Source organism: Homo sapiens, chromosome 12 (genome assembly GCF_000001405.40).
Source record: "Homo sapiens chromosome 12, GRCh38.p14 Primary Assembly".
NCBI classification, from domain to species: Eukaryota; Metazoa; Chordata; class Mammalia; order Primates; family Hominidae; genus Homo; species Homo sapiens.
Window position 1 is genome coordinate 88,017,521 of NC_000012.12, and position 12,975 is coordinate 88,030,495.

Sequence of the window (12,975 nt, forward strand, 5' to 3'; positions counted from 1 at the left end):
GCCAGTAGAGTGGAGCACTGCTGGAAAGATACCCAAAAATGTGGAAGCAACTTTGGAACTGGGTAACAGGCAGAGGTTGGAACAGTTTGAAGGGCTCAGAATAACACAGAAAAATGTGGGAAAGTTTGGAACCTCCTAGATACTTGTTGAATGGCTTTGACCAAAATGCTGATAATGATATGGACAATGAAATCCAGGCTGAGGTATTCTCAGTTAGAGATGAGGAACTTGTTGGGAACTGGAGCAAAGGTGACTCTTATTAAGTTTTAGCAAAGAGACTGGCAGCACTTTGCCCCTTCCCTAGAGATTTGTGGAACTTTGAATTTAAGAGAGATAATTTAAGGTATCTGGCAGAAGAAATTTCTAAGCAGCAAAGCATTCAAGAGGTGACTTGGGTGCTGCTAAAGGCATTCAGTTCTAAAAAGAAAACAGCATAAAAGTTTGGAAAATTTGCAGCCTGACAATAAGATACAAAAGAAAATCCTATTTTCTGAGGGGAAATTCAAGCTGGCTGCAGAAATTTTCATAATTAACAATAAGCCGAATGTTAATCCCCAAGATAATGGGGAAAATGTCTCCAATGTATGTCAGGGACCTTCTTGGCAGCCCCTCCTATCACAGGCCCAGAGACCTAGGAGGACAAAATGGTTTCATGGGCTAGGCCCAGGGTCCCCATGCTGTGTGCAGCCTATGGACTTGGTGCCCTGTGTCCCAGTCACTCCAATCACGGCTGAAAGGGGCCAAGATACAGCTCAGGCCGTGGTTTCAGAGGGTGCAGACCCCAAGCCTTGACAGCTTCCATGTGGTGTTGAGACTGCAAGAGCACAGAATTTAAGAATTGGGGTTTGGGAACCTCTGCCTAGATTTCAGAGGGCGTGTGGAAATGCCTGGATGCCCAGGCAAAAGTTTGTTGCAGGGGCAGGGCCCTCATGAAGAACCTCTGCTAGGGCAGTGTGGAAGGGAAATGTGGGGCCAGAGCTGCTACACAAAGTCCCTACTGGAGCACTGCTTAGTGGAGCTGTGAGAAGAGGGCCACTGTCCTCTAGACCCCAGAATGGGTAGATTCACTGACAGCTTGCACCGTGTGCCTGGAAAAGCCACAGACACTTAACACCAGCCAGTGAAAGCAGCCAGGAGCAGGGGCTCTACCCTGCAAAGCCACAGGGGCAGAGCAACCCAAGACCATGGGACCCCACCTTTTGCCTCAGTGGGACCTGGATGTGAGACCTGGAGTCAAAGGAGATCATTTTGAGCTTTAAGATTTGTCTGCCCTGCTGGATTTTGGACTTGCATAGGGCCTGTAGCCCCTTTGTTTTGCCCAGTTTCTCCCATTTCGAATGGCTGTACCTACCCAATGCCTGTAACCCCATTGTATGTAGGAAGTAACTAACTTGTTTTTGATTTTACAGGATCACAGGCAGAAGGGACTTGCCTTGTCTCAGATGAGACTTTGGACTGTGGACTTTTAAGTTAATGTTAAAATGAGTTAAGACTTTTGGGGAATGTTGGGAAAGCATGATTGGTTTTAAATGTGAGGACATGAGATTTGGGAGGGGCCAGGGATGGAATGATATGGTTTGGCTCTTTCCCCACCCAAATCTCATCTTGAATTGTAACTCCCACAATTCCCATATGTTGTGGGAGGAATTCGATGGGAGGTAATTGAATCATGGGGCAGGTATTTCCCATGCTGTTCTCGTGATAGTGAGTAAGTCTCATGAGATCTGACGATTTCAAAAAGGGGACTTTCCCTGCACAAACTCTCTTTCTTTGCTGCTGCCATCCATGTAAGACGTGACTTTCTCCTCCTAGCCTTCCTCAATGATTTGGAGGCCTCCCCAGACATGTGGAACTATAAGTCCATTAAACTTCCTTCTTGTAAATTGCCCAGTCTTGGGTATGTCTTTTGTAAATTGCCCAGTCTTGGGTATCTCTTTATCAGCAGTGCAAAAGAAGTGTAAAAGCAGACTAATATAGTGTGGTAGAAAACTTCAGAGAGCTAACAGGGCACTAGATCAAATAGAGTCTCTTGTTACATTTGGGAGTCACTGACATGTGGATCATATTCAAAATCATAAGGCTAGATGAGACTACCAAGAAAGTAAACAGAGAAAAAAAAAACCAAGAACTAACTCTGCACATGTAAGAGATTGGGGAAAAGAGGAAGAACAATCCAGGGAGAGTGATAACAAAGCACTAGGAAGGTAGAAGAAAAACAAAGAAACCAAGTTTGAAACAAAAGAAAAAAAATGTTAAAGACAGCTGGAGAGAAGGGTAGGTTACCTACAAAGCGAAGTCCATCAGGCTAACAGTGAACCTTTCAGAAGAAACCCTACAAGCCAGAAAAGATTGGAAGCCTACATTCAGCATTCTTAGAGAAAAAAAAATTCCAACCAAGAATATCACATCCAGGCAAACTAAACTGCATAAGTGAAGGATAAATAAGATCCTTTTCAGACAAGCAAGTGCTGAGGGAATTTTTTACCACCAGACATGCCTTACAAGAGGTCCTGAAAGATACACTAAATACGGAAAGGAAAGACAGTTACCAGTCACTACAAAAACACACTTAAGAATGCAGACCAGTGACACTATAAAGTAACCACACAAACAAGTGTGCACACAAACCAGCTAACAACATGATGACAGGATCAAATCCACACATATCAATGTAACCTTGAATGTAAAGGAGCTAAATGCACCAATTAAAAGGCACAGAGTTGCAAGCTCGATAAAGAAGCAAGACCCACTAACATGCTGTCTTCAAGACACCCATTGCACATATTATACAATGATACCCATAGGCTCAAAATAAAGAAATTGTGAAAAATCTACCAAGCAAATGGAAAACAAAAAATATCAGGGGTTGCAATCCTAATTTCAGGCCAAAAAGACTTAAACCAACAAGATTAAAAAACATAAACACATTATACAATGGTAAAGGGTTCAATTCAACAAGAAGACCTTACTATCCTAAATATATACACATCCAACACAGGAGCACCCAGATCCATAAAGCAAGTTCTTAGAGACCTACAAAAAGACTTAGATTCCCATACCATAATAGTGGGAGACTTCAACACTCCACTGACAGCATTACACAGATTGTCAATGCAGAAAAGCAAAGATATTAAGGACCTAAACTCAAAACTTGACCAAATGGATTTAATAAACATCTACAGAACTCTCCACCCCAAAACAACAGAATATACATTCTTCTCATCATCACATGACACATCCTCCAAAACTGACCATACATTTGGACATAAAACAATACTCAGCAAATTAAAAAAAAAAAATACATCATACCAACCATGCCCTCAGGCCACAGCACAATAAATATAGGAATCAATACTAAGAAAATCACTCACTACCATACAATTACATGGAAATTAAACAACCTGCTCCTGAATGACTTTTGGGTAAACAATGAAATTATGGCAGAAATCAAGAAATTCTTTGAAACTTTTGAGAACAGATACAACATACCAGATTCTCTGAGATACAGCTAACTCAGTATTAAGAGGGAAGTTTATAGCACTAAATGACCACATCAGAAAGAAAGATCTCAAATTAACAACTTAACATCACAACTAGAAGAACTAGAGAAGTAAGAGAAAACCAACCCTAAAGCTGGCAGAAGACAAGAAATTACCAAAATTAGGGCTGAACTGAAGGAAATGGAGACACAAAAAGCCATACAAAAGACCAGCAAACCCAGGAGTTGATTTTTTGAAAAAATTAATAAGAAAGATAGACTGCTACCTAGACTAATAAAGACAAAAAAAAAAAAAGAGAAGATCCAAGTAAACACAATTAGAAATGACAAAGGGAGGCCAGCTTCAGTGGCTCACGCCTATAATCCCAGCACTTTGGGAGGGCCAAGGCAGGCAGATCACTTGAGGCCAGGAGTTCGAGACCAGCCTGGCCAACATGGTGAAACCCAGTCTCTACTAAAAATACAAAAATTAGTCAGGCATGGTGGTGCATGCCTGTTATCCCAGCTACTTGGGAGGCTGAAGGAGGAGAATCACTTGAACCCTGGAACCAGAGGTTGCAGTGAGCCAAGATCGCACCACTGCATTCCAGTCTGGGTGACAGAGTGAGACTCTGTTTCAAAAAAAAAAGACAAAAGGGACATTACCACTGACCCCACAGAAATACAAAAACCTATCAGACACTACTATAAACACCTCTATGGGTACAAACTAGAAAATTTAGAAGAAATGAATATATTCCTAAACACATGCAACCTCCCAAGACTGAACAAGGAAGAAACTGAATCCCTGAAGAGACCAATACTGAGTTCTATAACTGTATAAGTAAGAAAAAGCCTACCAACCAAAAAAAACCCAGGGCCAGATAGATTCATAGCCGAGTTATATCAGATTTATAAAGAAGAGCTGGTGCCATTCCTACTGAGACTATTTCAAAAAATTGAGGATGAAGGACTCCTCCCTAACTCATTCTATGAGGCCAGCATCATTCTGATACCAAAATGTGGCAGAAAGAAAACCAAAAAAAAAAAAATTTCAGGCCAATATTCTCAGTGAACACAGATGTCAAAATCCTCAACAAAATACTAGCAAATCAAATTCAGCAGCACATCAAAAAGCTAATCCATCATGATCAAGTATGCCATATCCTTGGGATGCAAGGTTGGTTCAACATATACAAATCAATAAATGTGACTGACTACATAAACAGAACTAAAAGTAAAAACCATATTGAGATATGATTACCTCAATAGATGCAGAAAAGGCTTTTAATAAAATTCAACATCCCTTCATGCTAAAAACCCTCAATAAGCTAGGAATTGAAGAAACGTACTTCAAAATAATAAGACCCATCTATGTAAAACCCACAGCCTACATCAGACTGAATAAGCAAAAACTGGAAGCATTCCCCCTTGAAAACTGGAAGAAGACAAGTATACCCTCTGTCACCACTCCTACTCACCATAGTATTGAAAAGTCCTGGCCAGAGCAAACAGGCAAGAGAAAGAAAGAAAAGACATCCAAATAGGAATCAAGGAAGTCAAATTATCCCTGTTTGCAGATGACATAATTCTATATCTAGAAAACCTCATAATCTCTGCCCAAAAGTGCTTTGATCTGATAAACAATTTCAGCAAAGTTTCAGGATACAAAATTAACATACAAATATCAGTAGCATTCCTATACAACAACAACATCCAAGCCAAGAGTCAAATCAGGAATGCAATTCCATTAATAACTGCCACAAAAAGAATAATATATCTAGGAATACAGCTAACCAGAGAGGTGAAAGATCTTTACAATGAGAATTACAAAACACTGCCCAAAGAAAGCAGAGATGATGCAAACAAATGGAAAAACATTCCATGCTCATGGATAGGAAGAATCAACACCATGAAAATGGCAATGATGCCCAAAGAAATTCACAGATTCGAAGTTATTTCTATCAAACTACCAATAACATTCTTCACAGAATTAGAAAAATATATTTTAAAATTAATGTGGAACCCAAAAGGAGCCTAAAGAGCCAAGGCAATCTTAAAGCAAAAAGTTCAAAAAGGGAGGCATCATGTTACCCAACTTCAAACTATACTACAGGTCTACGGTAACCAAAACAGCATGATACTGGCACAAAAAAACACACATAGACCAATGGAATAGAATAGAAAGTCTAGAAATAAAAGCCTCATGCCTGCAACCATCTAATCTTTGACAAAGGTGACAAAAATAAGAAACAGGGAGAGGACTCCCCTTTCAATAAATGATGCTGGAATAACTGGCTTGCCATATGTAGAAAATGGAAACTGAACCCCTACCTTATACCACATACAAAAATTCACTCAAGATAGATTAAAGACTTAAATGTAGGCCAGGCACGGTGGCTCATGCCTATAATCCCAGCACTTTGGGAGGTTGAGGTGGGTGGATCACAAGGTCAGGAGATTGTACCGTCCTGGCCAACATGGTGAAACTTCGTCTCTACTAAAAAAAAAAAAAAAAATTTAGCCTGGCATGGTGGCACGTGCCTGTGGTCTCAGCTACTTGGGAGGCTGGGGCAGGGGAATCACTTGAACCCAGGAGGCGGAGGTTGTAGTGGGCGGAGATCACACCGTTGCACTCCAGCCTGGCAACAGAGTGAGACTCCATCTCAAAAAAAAAAAAAAAGACTTAAAAAACCCTGGAAGATAACCTAGGAAATACCATTCTGGATATAGGACATGACAAAGATTTCATGACAAAGATGCCAAAAGCATACAACAAAAAAGTTAACAAAAAGGATTTAATTAAACTAAAGAGTTTCTGCACAGCAAAAGAAACTACCAACAGAGTAAACAGACAATCTACAGAATGAGAAAAAATATTTGCAAACTATATATCCAACAAAGGTCTAATATCCAGAATTTATAAGGGACTTAACAAGCAAAAACTAACAACTTCATTAAAAAGTGGGAAAAGCACGTGAACGCTTTTCAAAAGAAGACATAAATGTGGCCAAAGCATAGGAAAAAATGCTCAACATCACTAATCATCACAGAACCACAAATCAAAACCATAATGAAATACCACCTCATACCAATAAGAATGGCTATTTATTAAAAAGTCAAAAAATAACAGATGCTGATGAGGTTACAGAGAAAAGGGAACACTTATATACTGCTGGTAGGAATGTAAATTGGTCCAGCCACTGTGCAAAGCAATGTAGCAATTATTTGAAGAACTTAGAAGAGAATTACCATTTGACCCAGCAACCCTATTATTGGGTATATACACACAGGAATATAAATCATTCTACCATAAAGACACATGTACCTGCATGTTCATCACAGCACTATTCACAATAGCAAAGACATGAAATTAACCTAAATGCCCATCAATGGTAGAACGAATAAGGAAAATGTGGTATATATATGCCATGGATTACTACACGCCATAAAACAAGAATGACATCATGTCCTTTGCAAGAACATTGATGGAGCTGGAGGCCATCATCCTTAGCAAACTAATGCAGGAACAAAATCCAAATGCCACATGTTCTAACTTATAAGTGAGAGCTAAATGATAACCCAAAGAGAGGGACAACAGATACTGTGGCCTATTTGAGGGTGGAGGCTGGTAGAAGGGAGAGGATCAGAAAAAATATCTATCAGATAGTATGCTTATTACCCAGGTGATGAAATTATCTGTCCACCAAATCTCCATGACACACAGTTTACCTATATAACAATCCTGCACATGTACCCCAGAACCTAAAATAAAAGTTAAAGAAAAAAAAGAAAGATAAATGAAGAGAATGTGTCCTGCAAGCTAGATAGGAAAATTATGTCAAGAAGGAAGGGGTGATTAAATGTGTCAAATCCTGCTCGTGGTTCAAGTTACATAAGGACTGGAAATTGGCCACTGGATTTAATAATGTGTATGTGACAGGTGAAAGGAGTGAATAAGCCTGATTTGCATGGGATTAAGAAAGAATGGGGGAAGGATTTGGTGACAGCAATAATAAATAACCACTTTGAAGAGAATTATTGCAACGGGAAAAAAACATGGGGTGGTAGCTTGTGAGAGAATAGATCAAAATGGAGAATTCCATAAATAAATAAATACATGTTTGTATACTGATAGAAATGATTCAGTAAGAGTGAATAATGTTTATGTAGAAAAAGAGGGAAGAATCATTAACTCAATGTCTTAGAGTAGACAAGAGAAGGCAATGTCTAGTTACCAAGTGGAAGGATAGGCTTAGATAGGAGTATGGATGATTCATGGTAAGAGCAGGGAAGAAGTTAAGTACCAATGCTACTAGGTGGGTGGATGTGGTGACAGAAATATGCAGAAGTTCTCTTCTTATTAAAAGTTTCTCAGTTCGTAAGACATAAAGTCATCATCAAAGAGGAGGTGGCAATGGAGGTTTAAGGAGAGGGAAGGAGGTATAAAAAGCAGTCTGGGAGAATAGGAATGAACTGGGGGAGTACCATGTAGTGTTATTGGCAGTCAGCAGTAAGGGCTCATTTGAGATTTGTGATCATGAATTTAACCCAACCAGCATGGTTGTATATTTTTCTGCAAATACAAAAATTAGCTGGGTGTGGCGGTGCGTGCCTGTAGTCCCAGCTACTCAGGAGGCTGAGGCATGAGAATTGCTTGAACCCGGGAGGTGGAGGCTGCAATGAGCTGAGAGCGCACCACTGCACTCCAGCCTGGGTGACAGAGCGAGACTCCGTCTCAAAAAACAAACAAACAAACAAACAAAAAACCATTCCATCAGAGAAACTTGGTGGCCATAGAAGGAAAGTAGAGTAGTTACAAGCATCAGGGAAACCTAATAGCCCAACCTTCTTCAGCAAGGTTCTTACCATTCACTGGTTTACACTGTGGTGTCTTCTGTATCCACTTCCCAGAACCAACTTTAAGGTACATCACATGGTAGAGTCTCAGTACCATTTAGTTAGACTGAATTGTGCCACGGCTTTTGTAGCAATGGCATTGCATTTTTTCCACAATTAAAGTGTTAGAAAGAACCATCACACATAGCTGTTCTGCTAGAAACAGAAGTGTGTAACCCAGATCCTGCCCTTGCTCTCTCCACCTACGAGATAGCTTTCCGCACATTCACAGAGACCACCAGTGAAGGTATGACCTCTAAGCTTGGCTTCAGTTGTGCGATACTTTGCTGAGACACAGCCTCCTTCTATTTAGTGAGGTCAGTAGCTGTCTTACTTTTCATATGAATAAAATCCATTTTAGATACACATAGAGAAAGTTTAACTTGCTCTTTGTTCATTTCATCTTGTTAGTTACTTAATGGTTCATTCTAAGCTTTCTCTTGTCTCATGTAGAATCATTCCAAATTACCCATTGGCTATTAAATTGCATTGCTCACCTTGTCATACTTTTTAAATGTGTCATTCTATGCTGCTAGTCCAAAACCAGATTAGAATATGGTAAGTCTATGTTATTCAAAAAATGTACTCACTGCTACTTGGTGGCAAAAATAATCCATTGATATTTCGAGGTTTGCTGTGATAAAAGATACAGCTGATCTTCACACAACCAAGAGGCTGAGTTTCCCAGAAGCATGAAATGCTGCAGTTTTGCTAGATAAAAGGAGATTGGGGGAAATGTAATGATTAGATGCCATATTTACAACAAATACAATGTGCTACAATACAGCACAAGGACACAAAAACAATTATAGTTAACTGATTTAGGATCATGTGTGTCTTCCAGCTTTCAGTGTTTCTAAGCCCTGCTATTCAAAAGATGGAATGGGTATTTCTAAAACATGTTCCTCCATTAAGTTGAAAAAATTGCAAAATGCCTAAAATCAAATAGTAGAAGGAAGAATGATTTCTTCCATATTGTTTTGAAAAAGTATAATTCAGCATTATTGAAGGGAAATACTTTTTGACAAAAATGATGACGCCAAGTAATTCTACCTGCATTTCCATGTGTCTAAATCTGCAAAGTGGATCTAAACATTTCCTCTCTCTCCATAATGAGCACACAGTGTCACTGCCAAGGGCCTCTTCACAGTGTCGGAATCGGCACTGGGAACCCTAAAAGAAAAAGTAAACAGTGTAGAAAGCTCAATATGTTGACATTAGTGTTCAACAACAATAGGTTGCTAATTAGTTAAACGAAATATGAGTAGATTACACTAGAATCACAAAGATATACACTATCAATTTTAGGCCATAAGTCTAAATTTTAGCAAATTAGTCTAACTTTAGTGAGAAAGCAACAAGATAGTCTAATGGTTACATAGTACAACATGCCACAAATCACTGATAAAATGCTACCTTTTGTTATTCGTTAATCCATATGGTTCACTAGGAATAGAGATATAAGAATCCAGTGACACTTTGATCACAATTCAATGACAGAACAACTTAATTTCTCTTTTGGAAGAAAGCCAGATGAAATTTTTAAGAATCTCTACCTACATTCTAATTGTGAAAATGATTTCTATTAATCAATCCTTTTATTAGATAATCTATTTTCTCAGTCTATGGAGATACTGTTAAGTTTTTATGGAGCTTAAAATTTATGTTATTGTGGAATTTTAATTATTGTATTATGATATACTACATTAAATATATGTGCTTTGTGCCTTTGGCTTAGAAAGATAAACAATTGCCTATACATATACTCACTGACTTGTTAATATGCCAACAAAAGTAGATGTGGATTGTTTTAATGGGCCGCTATTACTTCTTAAAAATTCTATGTTCTTTTAAATGTAAATGCACATTTGGTAAAAACTACAAGCCCCTGTTGTGTGGGAAGAGAGGTGGATAACATTCTTCCCTCTTTTGACACATGTTCCATGGTTGTTCTTTATCTTTTATCTCTCTCCTACTTCCATCTTCACTCTCTCCCCCTTGTTAAAGTAGATCCATATACTCTCATAGCACGGGTTAGTAGGCAGGGGTTTTCAAGTCAATAAACTGGTATTTGAAACCCTGGGCGCCACCACTTGCCCATTGTCACAAAGTTAATACTTAACTCATACTCTCTGTGCTTCAGTTTTCTCATCTGTATACAGGAAATAAAAACTACTTTCCTTACAGGTTAGCTGTAAAAATGATGTGATATAAGGTATTGTGAGCTATTATTATTATTTATTCATTTAATTATTTACTGGTAACTTACTCATTAGCCACTCTGCTAAGTACTTGGGGATACAGCAGTGAAATAGACAAAACACTCTGCCCACCTGGGACATGAAATCTGTTATTATTCTTTATTATCCTAGCATTTAATCTAACAGGTAATAGAAGTGAATCCAATTTCTGTGGTCAGAGAGGTTGACTCCATTCAGGTTTCCTAACAGAGAGGAAACACTTGAAACCAGACATATCATCTTTTTCACTGGATTATTTCTTGCATGAGCACAAAGCTCCAAATATTGAGTTTCTACCTTTATCTGGTTTTACTAAGATCTATACATCCTAATACATTGGAGGAATTCTCAGTTTTTCCCATTTAACTTTATAAAGTTTAATTTATATGTGGCCAATTTGTTTATATTAATTTTCTTTTTTAATGATATTTAAATATTTGTTATTACTTAGACTTTTGACAGAGGAAAATTCAGTAATTGGGTTAATAAATTTCAAATAGGAAAACAGATTTATTACACTAAGATTGACACTTACCTGAATTCAACTATTTGAATTATAATGACTGGAATCATATTAACTAAAACAATATCTTGTAACCTATGATGTTTTAATATTAGGAATTTAATGTCTCAAGGTGTCATAATATAGGCAAAAGTGCCACATGAAGATTCAAAAGCTATAGACATATAACTGGTATATATAAGGGTAGTTTCAAACAAATAATAATTTTAAATTATCTCAGATTTCTTCAGAGAAATTCAGTATGTCAAAAATACATGATAAGCTGTTACTCCAGATTTTACAAATATAAGATATCTTGCAAGAAAATAGTAAATTTTTGTTCAGCAATACAAGTTATTGCCATATCTCCCTTCATTCTACTAAAAAGATTAAGCATGTGAAGTACTGTCAATTGTACAATATTTACCTTTATGCATGTGGAATTAAAAAAGAAATAGCAGTCATTCCCAACTTCTGCCATTTTCAACTCTCTTGCTGCTAATCCAATGGTTTTTTTTTTTTGAAAAATATATATGAATTTCAGGAATGCAAATACAAGAACTATCAGTGTGTAAGGGGGAAAAATAATTTCTTTTCCACAGTCTTTCAGGCTATCAGTAGTATTCCTTTAAAACTGACCTCCTGTTGACAGTATATTACGCAATAGATAATTCTTAAAGACATTTAAATTAGAAGATACCTTCTCTAGCTTTGCAGAAACGCTGAAAGTGGTTGCTAGTAAGCACACAAACTCAAACTTCTAGAATTTTCCTCATTGTTACCTAATCCATTGTTTGCTCATCATAAATGACCTCACATGTAACTGCAGGCCAATGTTCACTCAGGTAAACTACAGTTTACCTGAGTGAACACTGTATTTCCCTTACTCAGTTTTAGCATATTAACTACAAAGGACTAGCAAAAATAAAATAGCATACTTTAATCTTTCAATGTTCTCGTTGAATATGGACTATAAACTAGTTTATACTTTTATAATAGAAAGTGATAAGTATTTCACAAGTAAACAGCTATTTCTAAATCTTCGTTTCTATAGAGGTTTTGGGAATAACACTAAAAATTTGCCATAGGTAAATGAGCTACTCATATTCTAAGATAATAAAAACAATTATTTAAATATGTACTCTCTACTATCCATTGATTTGGGAAAAATCATATTCAAATTGTGATATATTAATAGGTACCTGAAAATATATTGGGCTACTTATTCATCTTGTGGCTATATTCCATTTATTTTTCATCCATCATAAAAAGAGGAATATCTTCTTCCTATAGCAGAAAGTTTCCAGAGTGCTTGAAGGCTTTGAGAATTTGTTGAAAACAAGGGAAATACTCTGATTTCCAGAATGAAACATTTCAATCAGCAGTTATTTATATCTTCCTCTTAGTATCTTTAATCAAATAATTAAAACCCAGCAGAAATTAATAAAAAATATTCCTCATAAATGTATTAGTCCGTTTTCATGCTGCTGATAAAAGCATACCCAACTGGGAAGAAAAAGAGGTTTAATTGGACTTACAGTTCCACATGGCTGGGGAGGCCTCAGAATCATGGCAGGAGGTGAAAGGCACTTCTTACACTGCGGTGGCAAGAGAAAATGAGGAGAAAGTAAAGGTAGAATCCCCTGATAAACTGATCAGATCTTATGAGACTTATTCACTATCATGAGATTAGCATGGGAAAAACCCGTACCCATGATTCAATTACCTCCCCCTGAATCCCTCCCACAACATGTGGGAATTCTGGGAGATACAATTCAAGTTGATATTTGGGTGGAGACAGAGCCAAACCATATCATTCCACCACTTGTCCCTCCAAACTTCATGTCCTCACATTT

The 12,975-nt window shown here is 37.7% G+C and overlaps 1 protein-coding gene across 9 annotated transcripts in view; it reads right to left on the bottom strand.

Moving 5' to 3' along the window:
• C12orf50 (chromosome 12 open reading frame 50) overlaps positions 1–12,712 on the bottom strand; it is a 50,198-nt gene extending 37,486 nt beyond the window's left edge. For 3 of the 9 annotated variants that reach the window (XM_017018888.3, XM_017018886.3, XM_024448865.2), the window contains exons 1-3: positions 12,658–12,712; positions 9,431–9,550; positions 8,968–9,088 (exon numbers count right to left, since the gene is read on the bottom strand). In XM_017018888.3, coding sequence (XP_016874377.2) covers positions 8,968–9,088; positions 9,431–9,550; positions 12,658–12,690 — 274 coding nt within the window. In that variant the 5' untranslated portion in view covers positions 12,691–12,712. Of the gene's footprint in view, positions 1–8,967; positions 9,089–9,430; positions 9,551–11,546; positions 11,882–12,321; positions 12,404–12,657 lie in introns of those variants that run through there. The other 6 variants (XM_024448868.2, NM_001363616.2, NM_152589.3 and 3 more) reach the window with 3 other exon arrangements.
• Between the last annotated feature and the right edge of the window lie 263 nt (positions 12,713–12,975).